The sequence below is a fragment of the Homo sapiens genome, chromosome 3 (genome assembly GCF_000001405.40).
Source record: "Homo sapiens chromosome 3, GRCh38.p14 Primary Assembly".
In the NCBI taxonomy this organism is placed as follows: domain Eukaryota; kingdom Metazoa; phylum Chordata; class Mammalia; order Primates; family Hominidae; genus Homo; species Homo sapiens.
In genome coordinates, this window is record NC_000003.12 from 101,516,110 (window position 1) to 101,532,261 (window position 16,152).

At 42.4% G+C, this 16,152-nt stretch overlaps 1 pseudogene across 1 annotated transcript, besides 2 other annotated features; it reads left to right on the forward strand.

Annotated features, from left to right (window-relative positions):
- Positions 2,068–2,297: an enhancer, noted in NCBI's record as "active region_20164". NCBI's record gives its function as "activates an Ori minimal core promoter by ATAC-STARR-seq in GM12878 lymphoblastoid cells {active_cell/tissue: GM12878}" and the evidence as "EXISTENCE:reporter gene assay evidence [ECO:0000049][PMID:35858748]".
- On the forward strand, positions 2,758–7,778 carry ARB2BP (ARB2 family member B, pseudogene; annotated as a pseudogene). Its single transcript, NR_036433.2, has 2 exons — positions 2,758–3,046; positions 5,773–7,778. The product of NR_036433.2 is annotated as an ARB2 family member B, pseudogene (transcript).
- Positions 14,161–14,709: a transcriptional cis regulatory region, noted in NCBI's record as "candidate enhancer chr3.3097 targeted for multiplex CRISPR interference". NCBI's record gives its function as "positively regulates SENP7 gene expression in K562 cells {active_cell/tissue: K562}" and the evidence as "EXISTENCE:mutant phenotype evidence [ECO:0000015][PMID:30612741]".

Below are 16,152 nucleotides of genomic sequence, written 5' to 3' on the forward strand. Positions count from 1 at the left end.
GGTGTCCCACCCACCCTCTTCTTTAAAGATAATCACACCTAACCTAGAGAAGTCAAATTCAGAGAGATCGAAAGTAGAATGGTGGTTGCTAGTGCCTAGGATGAGGAGAATGGGGAGTTATTGTTTAATGGGTATAGAGTTACAGTTTTGTAAGATGAAAAGCATTCTGTGGATGGATGTCAGTAATGGTTACACAACAATATGAATGTACGTAATGCCTCTGAACTGCACACTTAAAAATGGTTAGAATGGTAAATTTTGTTATGTATATTTTCACAATTGTTTTTTAAGAAATAACCACACCTAGAACAAGTCATTACAGCTGTGTCACCACCTAATCCAGGATACTGGAAAAGCCTAATTTCAAATTTTCTTTAATGCGTATATGCTGTTCTCCTTTTTTAAAATTTTATTCTGCGTAAAACGACTGGAGTACTTGACATAGGAAACAAAGTGCCTACCAAATGGCCTCACTAAATTTTTGGTAAATGAATGAAATAAAAAGTCAAATACTATGCATTTTTAAATCTTTGGTAAAAACTAATCTTGGAGTGGGAGGAGGGTGAGCGTTGTAAAACTACCTATCAGATACTATGCTCGCTACCTGGGTAATGAAATCATTTGTATACCAAACCCCAGTGACACAAAATTTACCCTTGTAACACATTTGCACATTCCCCCGACCCTAAAATAAAAGTCAAAAAAGGGGAAAAAAAATCTTCTCTCAGGCTCCTGGGCTGCCTCAGTTACTTTGGGCATGCCACTTTACCTTTGAAAGCCTCAACTTCTCCATTTATAAAATAAACATGTTAGCTAAGAATATCAATAAGGTCCCTTCTAGCTCTAACAATCTTATTCTTGAAGGTAAACTATTGAAGGAAACCAGAATGTCACCTCAAAATATGCCTTTTTTTTTTTTTCCCGGAGACTGAGTTTTGCTCTTATTGCCCAGGCTGGAGTGCAATAGCACGATCTCAGCTCACTGCAACCTCCGCCTCCCAGATTCAGGTGATTCTCCTGCCTCAGCCTCCCGAGTAGCTGAGATTACAGGCACCTGCCACCATGCCTGGCTAATTTTTGTATTTTTAGTAGAGACAAGGGTTCAGCATGTTGGCCAGGCTGGTCTCGAACCCCTGACCTCGTGATCCACCTGCCTCAGACTCCCAAAGTGCTGGGATTACAGGCGTGAGCCACTGTGCCAGGCCAAAATATACCTCTTTTATATAAAAATTATTTTTGAGCTGAAGGCAATTAAGGAGGGAAAGCTCGCTCTCTCCTTTTTCTGCCTAAAAGGCAGGACATAAATTCTGTCTAGGCTCTTACCAGCCCAGAAAGCCCCAGACGAATCTGCAAACAAACCTTACTGTATTAGTTTCCTTCTGTAGATTTACATTCCCACAGTTTCTCACCCTTGGAAGCCTAAAACTCTTTCCTTTGTTCTTTCTTCTCTCCAGAAATTTATTGTTCTTCGTTGAAGATACTTACATAAGCCAGAGTTGTAAGCCACTGTTTTGAGTTACTCCGCATTTACGTTTCTCTAAGGTGATATGCGCTGCATGCATTAATAAACTTCTTTGTTTTTCTGTTGTTACAAGGGTTCATTCCAACTAAGAACTCATGAGGGTTAAGGAAATAATTATTTTTCCTCCCCTACACTATCTTATTCTAATCCAGTCTTTGGAAAATTAAGCATAAAAATTGTTTGATTCTCTCCCTTTTTATTTTGATGAACCATGTTGAATTTGCTTGAGAGATGGTTTATCTTTATTTGCAAAAGACAAAGCATATATAAATTGATGGATGGAATATTCTTTAAGAATAATTAATAAACCTTTGACATTTATTAAGTTTAGAATTATAAAAGAAGTCTCTATAATTTTTCAAAAGCTTTGCATCTTTCTCTTATGTATTAATATATTGCTAGAGGACTTTTAAAGTGTGCTTTACTTCTTTATGTGCTTGGCAAAAAATTGTAAAATTCTAACAATATTTAAGTGCCTACTGTGCACCAGACGCTATTCCAAGAACTAGAGATACAGTAGTGAACAAAACAAAGTCCCTGTTCCTGCTGTCATAGAACTTACATTCTAATGGAGAGAAGTAGACAGTAAGCAAACATACGTCAGTTGGTAATAAGTGCCGAAAAAAAAAGGAAGGGAGAGAGTTGCTCTTTCAGATAGACTGCTCAAAGAAAATCACTCTGATGAGATAAAAAGTGGGCAGAAACTTTAAAATAAAAGCCCTATAGATATCTATAATGGGGAGGAATATTCCAGGCTGTGGGCATAGCAAGAGTGAATACCCTTAAAACAGGAGCTTCCTTCACAAATTGACAGCAAAGTAGACCAGGTGCAACTATGGTGAAGTAAACAAGAGAGTGGTAGGAAATGACACCTGAGAAAGAGCTAAGACCCAGATCATGTAACTAGATGAGTAAGCCAGTGAGAGAGTGGTAGGAAATGGCACCTGAGAAAGAGCTAAGACCCGGATCATGTAACTGGATGAGTAAGCCAGTGAGAGAGTGGTAGGAAATGACATTGGAGAGCTAAGGGCCATGTGAGACCTTGTCGGCCATGGTAAGAACTTAGTTTTCATTCTGAGTGAGAAGGGAGACCATTGAGAATTTTAGTAAGCCTATGCATCTAGACTGTGAACTTCACAGGTCTCAGTTCACTACAACCCCCTTGGGTTGGGCAGGGTAGCTAGAGCGGGCTAGAGTTGGGTATTTCCCTTCCCCCAAGTCAGTTAGGCTCTGATAAAACCCCAGCAGGTTAGCTTCTCATTAAATAGCTTCTCCTGAGGGCAGACCTTGTTAAGAAGAACAAAATGCTCTGGCGTATTTCAAAATGGCTCCTTTTCCCCACCCACTACCAGAGGCATGGATAATCACCCTGAGGACCTGTGAGAGATCCAGGAGCTTAAAAAAAATTGGGGAGCGGGGAAGAGGGAATGGCTAGGTCCCTCTGACTTGTCCACACTGATCCTTCAGGTTTACCTATCCTGGTACTTGTTCCATTGGAGGCTTCAGCGGCTAGTTTCTGCTCTGGTAAGTTGTGATTCTCTACATTCACTTGCTTTCAGTCCCTCCAATTTTGGAGGCAGTAGTATGCCCAGTAACCTTACTTATTTTATGGAACTTATGAAGAAGAGCTGTTGATTTTTGGTTTGTCTAGCTTTTTACTTGTTGTTAGGACTGAGTAGCAACTTCCAAGATTTTTACATGCCAGTCTGGAAACAAGAAGTCAACAAACATCACCATTGAAAATTTTGAACAAGGTTGTGACATCCCATTAGATTGTTTCACCACGGCCTCGATGTAAAACATTTTTGGATTTGCTGGGCGCGGTAGCTCACGCCTGTAATCCCAGCACTTTGGGAGGCCGAGGCAGGTGGATCGCCTGAGGTCAGGAGTTCGAGATTAGGCTGGCCAACATGGTGAAACCCTGTCTCTACTAAAAATACAAAAAATTAGCCACGCGTGGTGGCACATGTCTGTAATCCCAGCTACTTGGGAGGCTGAGGCGGGAGAATAGCTTGAACCTGGGAGGTGGAGGTTGCAGTGAGCCAAGGTCGTGCCATTGCACCCCAGCCTAGGGAACAGAGCGAGACTCTGTCTCAAAAAAAAAAAAAATTCTTGGATTTTTGAAGCATGGATTTTTGCCGTGCATTGCATCCATTTTCAAGGCTTTTTTTTTTTTAAAGGATAGTTAAGTCTGTCAATTATTTACACTTTAGAAAAAGTAAATTAATTACGTAATAACATCTGAGAGAGAGGCTGGGCATGGTGACTCACACCTGTAATCCCAGCACTTTGGAAAGCCAAGGCAGGAGGATCACTTGAGCCCAGGAGTTTCAAACCAGCCTAGGCAACATAGTGAGATCCCATCTCTAAAAAAAATTTGTTTTAATTAGCCAGGCACGGTGGCATGTGCCTGTAGTCCTAGCTACCTGGGAGGCTGAGGGGGTGCTTGCTTGGATGTCTTAAATCTCTTTTAATATTTTTTTTTCCCTGAGATAAGAAGGTCAAGGCTGCAGTGAGCTGTGATCACACCACCACGCTCCATCCTGGGTGACAGAGTCAGACCCTGTCTCTCCAAAATAACACCTGAGATCAGCAAAGACTAGAAGCATTTTTCATAGAAAAGGAAGGAATGGAGAGCAGTGTGGATAGTGCTTTGGACAACCAAAAACCTTTATAAAGTACCTGTTGCGTTAGAGGGGTCAGAGAATAAGATTTAGAAAGTGAGAAGGGAGTTAAGAAATCTTAGACCAGCTTATTGAAGTGGGGAAAAAAATTAAAAATTTAGGTGTGGTGGCTCATGCCTGTAATCCTAACACTTTGGGAGGCCGAGGCAGGTGGATTTCCTGAGCTCAGGAGTTCAAGACCAGTCTGGCAACACGGTGAAACCTACTAAAATACAAAAAAATTAGCTAGGTGTGGTGGCATATGCTGTAATCCTAGCTACTTGGGAGGCTGAGACAGGAGAATTGCTTGAACCTGGGAGGTGGAGGTTGCAGTGAGCCAAGATCACACCACTGCACTCCAGCTTGGGCAACAGAGTGAGACTCCATCTCAAAAAAAAAAAATTAAAAGAGATTTAAGACATCCAAGCAACCACCATTTGAATTTTGCCTTAGGCCTAATAGCAACTCAAGTTGCACTGAAAATCATTTTGAGTGCAACTTATTGGAAGTAGGTTGTAGCTTGCCAGTGTCAGTGTTAAGAAATTAAGAAGGGAGAGTGTTAATATATCTGTTAAGAGAGTGCATTTGAGAGTCAGCCTCATATGCAATCATTTCTTTGATAGTTGTCTGGCTTTAGAGAAAGCCACTTAACCTTTCAAAGCCTTTTTTCCCCCGCTTTAAGCTCTACCTACAGCAACTAAGTTAACTTCTCATCTAGCCTATTTTTTTCCTTCTCAGACATCAGAATAACTGTATCTTCTAGTATTCGCTGAATTGATCATAATCTCCATTGCCTGATTCACATTTCACTCCCGCTTCTATCTTCTGCCGTTCATTTAACAGCAAAAGTTATTAAATATCTTCTGCAGAAATAAATGAAGACCAACCAAATGAGAAAAGCCTATTTATTCTGAGCCTGCTGTAGCAAGGGAGTCCACCACTATCACTTGCGTTTTGGCAGAGACTCAAGGCAGGCAGAAGAGTAGGAGAGCTGTATAGTGGGGGAAAAAAGAGAAGACTTCGCATTTGCCCTGATTGCAAGTTGTCATGGGGAAGCTGTAGGTGAGCTAACTAGAAATGGGGACATCTTGCGTGATTGGTTAGGGGTACATATTTGGCTCTCTCTGGTTGGTCTCAAGTTGGAAATAGGGACAAAATTACGAAAGCTGTCAGTTATTAATGAAGTTCTTGCCATTTGGCACCAATTGTTATAGAAGTTACTGGTTAGTTTCCTGAATTTTCACTAGTGATAGAAATCTGGTTTCCTGCCAGTCTGACATACCAGACTGACTTCCTGAGTTGTTTATTGTAAATGAGGGGTTGGCTTCCTGGGCAGGTTGCTGCAGGTTATGTCAAAAAATCCATATTTACATATGGTCTCTCCATTGTCTCTTCATATATTCAGTCTTTCACTGCTTTGAATCATTCACAATTATTTTGAATTGACGTCTTTACCATAGGTTAGAAGGTTAATGTCTTTCTGACATGCTTAATTTAGCATCATGTGCCATAGGAAGAATTTGGCAAGCTGAAATTTTCATTTTACTTTTGCTAGCACTTATATACTATTACTCTTTTAACTTTCAGTGGTTACCAATGACACAGGAGCTGAGCTTCCAAAAATTTATTGAACAATCTGACTTACTAGGAGAACTTAAATATGACTTCAATGAAAAAGATGAATTCAGACATACTGAGACACAAAGGCCTTTTGTCTTTAACTATTATGAAAATGTCCTTGAGAAAAATAGCAAGCGCTACCAGGCCCTTGGCCATTTGCTTGAACAATACATTTATGAGCTTTTGGAGAAAGTGTGCAAATTAGAAAAAGTATATATCCCACCTGAGGCTGATAAAGAAGAACCAAGAAGCTTCTTTTTCATGAGCGAGAAAGCATTAACAAATCACCATTCTGCTCTTCTTATCCTTCTTCAAGACCATGGGGTCTTTCGAGCTGGTCAGTGGAGTCAACAGGCAATAATACATCATGGTCTCCAACATGGAAGTCAGATACCATGTATTCAAATGGCATTGCAGGCACACTATGATGTAATTGTGCTAAACCCCAATGATAATTTTGTGGAACCAAAGGTGGAAAAAGAGTGGAAAGGCCTTTTAACACAAAATATTGAGTCATCTTCTCTAAAAATGGTTCAAGGTGGGAGCTTTTTCTCTCTCCAGCATCCTCCCAAATGCATTCCAAAAAGATGCAGCAACACCCCCGAAGAACACACGGCTTACATATGGGATTACTTCATTTCAAAGACTGAAGGCAAGGATATTGCCTTCATTGTACATGGTTATGGAGGCTTGGTTTTTATGGACTTGCTTGTTCGTAGAAGGTGGGAAGTGATGAGCAAAGTATATGCTGTTGCACTTATCGACTCTGAACATCACGTAGGACACCAGCTGGGAAGTGATGTACAATTATTAGCATGGATAAAGCACCACTGCCGTGAATGGGTGACAAGTCCTAAGCCTTTGGATAAACCTGCAGCTACTGTTTTCAAAAAGGAATTTCCTATGGTTTCTGCTGGCACAGAAAAGTACATCTTAGCCCCTTCCTCTAGCCTTCAGTCAATTTTTAAGTACTTTAAAAAAGCTTTAAAAGCCAGAACAACCATTAATTTCTCTCGAATGCCAATAGTGACTAGAAGCTCCACAAAAAGAAAGCAAAGTGCTTAAACTACTTTTGTCATCTAAGATTTTTTTGTCCTTCTGCAACTTTGCTAATACAGATTCTGGAAGAAAAAAGAACACTTTCAACTCACACACAATATGATGTTCTGGCTTGAGGTTTGATTTGTTACTTTTTATTATTTGGTTTTTATGAGGCAGGGTCTGACTTTGCTGCCCAGGGTGGTATGGAAATCTGGCCTCAAGCGAACCTCCCACCTCAGCCTCCCAAAGTGCTGAGATTATAGGCATTAGCCACTGCACATGGCCATGGCCAGGTTTGTTGCTTTTTTTTTTTTGGAGGAGGAGGAGGAGGAGTCTCTGTCACCCAGGTTGGAGTGCAGTGGCACCATCTCAGCTCACTGCAACCTCCACCTCCTGGTTTCAAGCAGTTCTCCTGCCTCAGCCTCCCAAGTAGCTGGGACTACAGGCACATGCCACCACGCCCAGCTAATTTTTGTATTTTTACTAGAGACGGGCTGTTCGCCAGGCTGGTCTAGGACTCTTGACCTCAGGTGATCCACCCACCTTGGCCTCCCAAAGTGCTGGGCTTACAGGCATAAGCCACTGCACCTGGCCATTTTGTTGCTTTTTTGAAAAGTGAACATATTCTCTCTTTTGTAGCCTGTTGATGAACTGGGAATTCAGTGTCATCATTAATATTTTACAGTGTTAGTTAAGTGTGAAGATCTTTCTTTTAAAAAGCTGTGGTTTGATATAATGACAACAAAATGGCAATTGATAAAAATTAGATATTGAATCAATCTTTGATTTCTATAATAATACCATAGTAAAATTAAAAGTGAACATAAAAATTAAACATCATAAGCAAACTGCATTCTTTGTGTGTTTATGTTTTTTGTTAAAATTTGTTGTACTCCCTGTTCACCAGGTCTGAAGAAAAATAAATTTTAAATAAATTTGTTGGTCTTGTGCATATGTTCACTCACATCTTCAACTAATATCTGAGTGCTTACTATGTGCCAGTCAAGACTAGGTGTTTGGGACACCGTAGCAAACAACCCCAACATTGCCTTTCTCTTTACAGAGTTTACAATGGCTGAGAAATTACAAACGTGAAGAGTGTTAAATAGTAAAGGAGACTGGGCGCGGTGTCTCATACCTGTAATCCCAGCACTTTGGGAGGCTGAGGTGGGCGGATCATCTGAGGTCAGGAGTTTGAGATCAGCCTGGCCAACATGGTGAAACCCCATCTCTACTAAAAATACAAAAATTAGCCAAGCATGGTGGCAAGCGCCTGTAATCCCAGCTACTTGGGAGGCTGAGGCAGGAGAATCACGTGAATCTGGGAGGCAAAAGTTGCAGTGAGCCAAGATCGTGCCACTCCACTTCAACCTGGACGACAAGAGTGAAACTCCATCTTAAAAAAAAAAAAAAAAAAAAAAAAAAAGGAAAGGGTGCCATGGAATATCTACCATGAGAGCTAACCAGCCTTGGGGTTCAGGGAATATTTCCCAAAGAAAATGATGCTTAGTTTGAAGAACAATAGTAGTTGGCTAGGGGAACAAAGTCACAGGCAAATGAACAGCCTATGCAAAGGTGTTCAGGCAGGAGAAAGAAGGCTAGCTCAGCTACAGCTGAAAGACTGAGAAGGAATAGCATGTTCAGAAATAAATTATTTATGACACTTGTTGATACAGTTTAGATTTGGATATTTGTTCCTACCCAAATCTCATGTTGAATTGTAATACCCAGTGCTGGATGTGAGGCCCTGTAGGAGGTGTTTGGGTCATGGGGGCAGATCCCTCATAGCTTGGTGCTGTCTTCACAATAGTGAGTTCTAGTGAGATCTGGTCATTTGAAAATGTGTGGTGCCTCCCCCACCCTCTCTCTCTCTTGCTCCTGCTCTGCCATGTGAGTGGCCTGCTCCCCTTCACCTTCTACCATGAATAAAAGCTCCCTGAGGCCTTCCCAGAAGCCAAGCAGTTGTTAGTGCCATGTTGCCTGTATAGCCTCCAAAACCATAAGCCAATTAAACCCCTATTCTTTATAAATTACCCAGTCTCAGGTATTTCTTTATAGCATGCAAGAACACCCTAACACAGAAAATTAGTCCCAAGGAGAAAGATGTTGCTAGAAAGATACCTGAAAATGTGGAAGCAGCTTTGGAACTGGGTAATGGGCAGAGGTTGGAATGGTTTGCAGGGCTCAAAAGAAGATAAGAAGATGAGGGAAAGCTTGTAATTTCGTAGAGACCAGTTAAATGGTAGTGACCAAAATGCTGATAGTGATATGGACAGTGAAGACCAGGCTGACGAGGTCTTAGATGGAAATGTGGAACTTAGGGACTGGAGCAAAGTTCACACATGTTATGCCTTAGCAAAGAGCTTGGCTGCATTGTGCCACTGCCCTAGGTTCTGTGGAAGTTTGAACGTGAGAGTGATGATTTAGGTATCTGGCAGAAAAAGTTTCTACACAGCAAAGCATTCAAGATGTCGCCTGGCTACTTCTAACAGCCTACATTCAAATGTGGGAGCAAAGAAATGACTCAAATTTAAAATTTATATTTAAGCAGGAAGCAGAGCGTGAATGTTTGGAAAATTTGCAAACTGCCCATGAGGTAGAAAAAAGGCTTTTTCAGGAGAGGAATTCAAGTGAGCTGTAGAGTAACCCCTTGCTAGAGATATTTGCATAACTGAAAGGGAGCTAAGTGCTAATATCCAAGGCAGTGGGAAAAGTCCTTGAGGACAGACATTTCAGAGACATTTGAGGCAGCCCATCCCATTACAGGCCCAGAGGCCTAGGAAGGAAGAATGGTTTCATGGGTCAGACCAAGGGCCCCAGTGCCCTGTGCAGCCTCAGACACTGCTTCCCACATCCCAGCTACTCAAGCTCTAGCTAGGACTCAAAGGGGCCCAGGTTCAGCTCAGGCCACAGCTCCACAGGGTGCAGGCCATAAGCCTTGGGGGCTTCAACATGATGGTAAGCCTGTGGGTGCACAGAGTGCAAGAGTTGAGGCTTGGCAGCCTCTGCCTGGATTTCAGAGGATACATGAAAAAGCCTGAGTGGTTAGGCATGGTGGCTCACACCTGTAATCCTAGCACTTTGGGAGGCCAAAGTAGGTGGATCACTTGAGCCTAGGAGTTCAAGACCAGCCTGGGCAACATGGCAAAACTCCATCTCCACAAAAAATACAAAAATTAGCCAGGCATGATGGCACACACCTGTAGTCCCACCTACTCAGGAAGATGAGTTGGGAAGACTGAGCCTGGAATGCCTAGGCCCACAGTGAGCCATGATGGTGCCACTGCACTCCAGCCTGGGCAACAGAGTGAGACCCTGTCTTAAAAAAAAAAAAAAAAAAAAGCCGAGTGTCTAGACAGAAGCTTGCTATAGGGGCAGAGCCCTCACAGAGAACTGCTCCTAGTACAGTGCCAAGGGGAAATGTGGGGTTGGAGGCCCAACACAGAGTTTCTACTGGGGCACTGCCTAGTGAAAGCTGTGAGAAGGGGACCACCATCCTCCAGACCCCAGAGTGGTAGAGCCACTGGCAGCTTGCAACCTGTACCTAGAAAAGCTCCTGGCTGTCAACAACCTGTGAGAACAGTTGTAGGGGCTAGATCCTGCAAAGCCACAGGAGTGGAGCTGCCCAAGGCCTTAGGATCCCACCCCTTATACTAATGTGCTCTGGATGTGGGACATAGAGTCAAAGGAGGTTGTTTTTGGAGCTCTAAAATTTAATGACTGCCCTGCTAGGTTTCAAGCTTGTATAGGGCCTGTAGCCCCTTTCTTTTGGCTGATTTCTCCCTTTTGGAATGGGAATATTTACCCAATGCCTATACCTCCATTGTATCTTGGAAGTAACTAACTTCTTTTTTATTTTATAGGTTCATACATGGAAGGAACTTGCCTTGCCTCAGATGAGACTCTGGACTTTTGAGTTAATGCTGGAATGAGTTAAGATTTGGGGGGACTGTTGGAAAGGCATGATTGTATTTTGCAAAGTGATGAGGACATGAGATTTGGGCCACGGGCAGAATGATAAAGTTTGGATATTTGTCCCTGCCCAAATTTCATGTTGAATTGTAATCCCCAATGCTGGAGGTGGGACCTGGTGGGAGGTGTTTGGGTCATGGGGGCAGATTCCTGATGGCTTGGTGCCATCTTCATGATAGTGAGTTTTCAAAAAATCTGGTCATTTACAAGTGTGTGGTACTCTCCTTACCTTGCTTGCCCCTGCTCTTACCACGTGAGATGCCTGTTCCCCCCTCACCTTCTTCCATGATTGTAAGCTTCCTGAGGCCTCTCCAGAAGTAGATGCTGATGCTATGCTTCCTGTACAGCCTGCAGAACTGTGAGCCAATTAAACTTATTTTCTTATATATTACCCAGTCTTGGGTATTTCCTTATAGCAATGCAAGAATGGCCTAATATACTTGTTGAAGACAGTAAGGAAGATCTTATACAAGGACTACTGCAGTGAGGAATTTGCAGTAGGAGAGAAAGATCAGGCTCAACTCTGAATACAAGGACTAGTGGAGATTTATAGCCAAGGAGCAAGGTGGGGTCAGTGGATGAAAAATTACTAAAAGAAAATATCAGGGCTATGTGATGGTTAATACTGAGTGTCAACTTGATTGGATTAAAGGATACAAAGTTTTGATCTTGCGTGTGTCTGTGAGGGTGTTGCCAAAAGAGATTAACATTTGAGTCAGTGGACTGGGGAAAACAGATCCACCCTTAATCTGGTGGGCACTATCTAATCAGCTTCCAGCGAATATAAAGCAGGCAGAAAAACATGAAAAAAGAGAGATGGGCCTAGCCTCACAGCCTACATCTTTCTCGTGTGCTGGATGCTTCCTGCCCTTGAACATCGGTTCCAGGTTCTTCAGTTTTGGGACTCAGACTGGCTCTCCTTGCTCCTCAGCTCGCAGACAGCCTATTGTGGGACCTTGTGATCATGTAAATTAATACTTAATAAACTTCCCTCACCCCCCCACCCCCGCCCCCCCCCCACACACACACATGTCCTATTAGTTCTGTCTCTCTAAGAAAACCCTGACTAATACAGGCTAAGAGAGATTCTTGCTAAGGCAGGCCAGGGTGATAAGATATCATGCATGGAGGGTGAGGAATTTGATCAGATATCAAAGGTTTTCAGCTATCAAGGATGGAGATTTTCACTAAAATGACTCAAGAGGATTCCTTTTTTTTTTTTCCTTTTCTTGAGACTGGGTCTCACTCTCACCCATGCTGAAATGCAGTGGTACAATTATGGCTCACTGCAGCCTTGACCTCCTAAGCCTCATGTGACTTTCACACCTCAGCTTTTTGAGTGGCTGGGACTACAGGCAAGTGCCACCAAAACCTCACTATTTTTAAAACTTTTTGTAGAGATGAGGTCTTGCTCTGTTGCCCAGGCTGGTCACAAACTCCTGGGCTCAAGCAATTCTCCTGCCTTGGCCTCCCACAGTGCTGGGATTACAGGCATGAGCCACTGTGCCCAGCCCTAACAGGATTCTTGCTAAAACTGGACTAAGCAGGCTAACTGAAACTATTAGGTTGGTGCAAAAGTTATTGTATTTTTTGCCATTTAAATGGCAAAAAAAAAAAAAAATGAAGTAGCTCAACTCAGTTGTGGTTATAAGATTATATTGCTCTGGGAGTGCTATAGACTAAATATTTGTGTCCCCTTCTCTCCCCACCAACAAAATTCATATGTTGAAACCTAATCTTTAATATGATAGTATCTGGAGGTAGGGTGTGATTAGGGGAGGTTATTAGTTCATAAGGCCTCCACCCTCATGAATGGGGTTAGTATTCTTATAAAAGAGGGCCCAGAGAGCTGTCTTGCCCCATCTGCCATGTGAAGACACAGTGAAGAGATGGCCATCTGTGAACCAGGAAGTAGACCCAGACATTTGCTGGTGCCTTGACTTGAACTTTCCAGCCTCCAGAACTGTGAGAAATAAATTTCTGGGTTTTGTGTGTGTGTGTGTTGGGGTTTTGTTTTTTGATTTTGTTTTTTGAGATGGAGTCTCACTCTATCACCCAGGCTGGAGTGCAGTGGTGCGATTTTGGCTCACTGCAACCTCTGCCACCTGAGTTCAAGCGATTCTCCTGCCCCAGCCTCCCAAGTAGCAGGGATTATAGGTGCCTGCCATCGCACCTGACTAATTTTTGTATTTTTAGTAGGGACGGGGTTTCACCATCTTGGCCAGGCTGGTCTTGAACCCCTGACCTTGTGATCCACCCACCTCGGCCTCCCAAAGTGCTGGGATTACAGGTGTGAGCCACCATGCCTGGCCAAACTTCTGTTGTTTACAAGCCACCTAGTCTGTGGTATTTTTGCTAAAGTAACGATTCTTTGCTTGGCCAAACTTTACTCAGGCTCCTGAACCTTGCTCTAGGCCCACTGTGCACTTCCTTGTAAAATCCAATTTTAGTAAAGAACCCTGCTAAGTCAGTTTAGCAAGAATCCCTCACCCTTAATGCCAGATCACCCTCAATACCTGATCAGGTTTCTCATCCTCTACCACCCACAAGTGATGCCTGATCACCCTGGCCTATCCTCAGCAAAAATCCTGTTAGGTTGGTTTGGCCATAATCCTCCTTATCCTTGATGTTTCCTCTTAGGAAATTTTCATCTATTGACCCCACCCTACTACTTGGCTATAAATTCCTACTTGCTAATATTGTGGTGCCATTGCTGTGGTCCCTATACCTATTGCATGGTCTTGAATAAAGTCTTCCTCACCATGCTTTAACAAGTATCATTGAAGAATTTTTTCAACAATTTCAGCCCAAATAGACCAAAGCAGAATGTTTATCTTGTCATTTCAAAATATTTCATGTTTTGATAAACAGCTCTGTATATTTAGAAACAGTTTTTCTATGCAAAACATCATCATTTTTGCTCCAGACAGGAAATGCTTGTGTTGAAAACACAGCTTATTTTAAGCTTTCTCTCCTAGTCCCTTATTATTCCCTTACTCTGACTTCTGATATTGATCTATCTTTGCAGCTTGAAGTCAATAAAGAACATCTCTGCTTTTTTGGCTGTCAACTGAAAACCAGGGATGTATGCTGACAGAGACTGATATGGGAGGCCTTTAGGGAAATCCTAAAACCTCTGATATCACCATGTAATGATTTTTTTTGCTTTCTTGTGGAAAATGTTGGAGATAATTGATCAATTGATCATTGTTCTTAAGCAAGGCACACGAAAATTGGTGTATTACTTTCCAATACTAGACCAAATATAGCTCAACAAAAAAGGAGAACATGTTATTGAAGCAGCTGCATTGTCTGAGACATCACCTGAGATTCTTTGTCTCATGGCCATGAAAATCAAGGACACAGACACACAGAGGGTGAGGTTGGAGCAGAAGTTTAACAGGTGAAAGGAAAAGAACAGCTCTCTGTCACAGAGAGGGATCCCAAATGGGTTGCTGTGCTGCAGTAAAATGTAAGGGTTTTATAAATGAGCTAGTGGGGAGGGGGTATCTTATCTACATAGGGCATGAAAAACCAGTTAGAACCAGGTGTCCCATCTGCATAGAGCAGAGACTCTGGCAGCCTCCACCCCCCTCCTTTATCATGCAGTTGGGCTCTTAGCTTGGGCTACTCCACACTGCTTATCTCCTTCCACCATGCATATGCTAAAAAGCAGAGGGGGAGTTTCTGTGCCTGGTCGCAGGTACCTCATTGTAACTGCAGGCATCCGCCACCCTGCGCAAGCTTCCAGTTTCCCTATATTAGTGTCCCCCAAAAAGGGAAAGGAATGTGCTCATTAAGGCCCACTGTCTTTACTGGGACCCATTGTATGTATATGAAGTTTGGTGATTACCCAGGAAACTCTCCCTCCGTGTCAGAGTTGCTTATCTATTTTTATAGCCCAATCTTCTAGGCTGTTTCTATTAGAAGTGATTTCTTTGAACTTCACGTGGTTAGAAAGGAAGTAATTTCTGAGCTGCTTTTTGTTAGAAGAAAAGTTTCTGTCAGGGACTCTTTTACCCTAACTACCTAAATAATTTCTATCTCCTCTATCATTATTTTTACAGATTTGCTATGGGAAGTCTCATTAACTGGAAATTACACTTATTTGCTTTTCAATGTTTCTTCAAAAGCAATGGTTCTCTAAATTTAGAATGCATCAGTATAACCTGGAAGTCTTGTTAAGACAAAGATTGCTGGGGCCCACTGTCAGCATTTCTGATTCAGTAAAATCAGTAGGTGAAGGCCAAAAATTTCCACTTCTAACCAGTTCCTAAGTGATGGTGATGCTGCTGGTCCAAGGACCACATTTCATGAACCACTGTTAGAAAGACTAAGAATGCACTGGGCATGGTGGCTCACACCTGTAATCCTAACATTTTGGGAGGCCAAGGTGGGTGGATCACTTGAGGTCAGGAATTAGAGACCAGCCTGGCCAACATGGTGAAACCCTGTCTCTACTAAAAATACAAAAATTAACTGGAAATCACTTGAACCCAGGAGGCAGAGGTTGCGGTGAGCTGAGATCGTGCCACTGCACTCCAGCCTGGGATACAGAGCAAGACTCCATCTTAAAAAAAACAGAAAAGAAAAGAAATGATAAGAATGGCTTGTAAAGGAAAAGAAAAATCTCAGGATGCCCAAACTCATTATGCCAAGGGGAGAGTTAAGCCTGGGAAATGAGTCATGCAACATTGCCATCCTTTTTCCCCAAACAGATAACTGTTACTTTGAAACCCTGTGTCAAACCACATCCCCACAGACAAAAGGCTTCATGCCTCTCCAAAGGGCTGCCCTCACAAATTGTTTACAAGGAAACTTTGGTGGCTCCTAAATCTTTCAGGACATATATCCTTCTATAAAATAAGCACTTACCAATTGTTACCATAGGTCTGCAACCTGTTTAACTTTTAAAACTAAGATATGTTAAATCTCACATTGACAATGTCAGTTACAAGTTTATCTTCACAGGTCGGAACAAGGACAAGATGAGATCAATCATTCTTCTGCCTACATTGAAACGACTGTATAATTGACTCTTTATTCCCTTTTCTTTGAATGTTCACATTATCTTATGTAAAATGTAGATTACTGGGTACTAACTGGAACCTCACAAGAATGTAATCATTTGCCTCACTTCCTACCCTCCCCCACCCCCACCCCACCTCCACATTTTCCTGAATGTTCTCTCCTCCTTAAAGAAAAATGTAAATACTGAGCTTCCTGAAAACCTCTTTGGAGAGCACAGGCCACAGATGCCTCTTTGACTTGGGATTTTCCCAGGGGCATCCTCAAACTCTGGCTCAATAAACTTCAACTGATTGAGACTCCTGC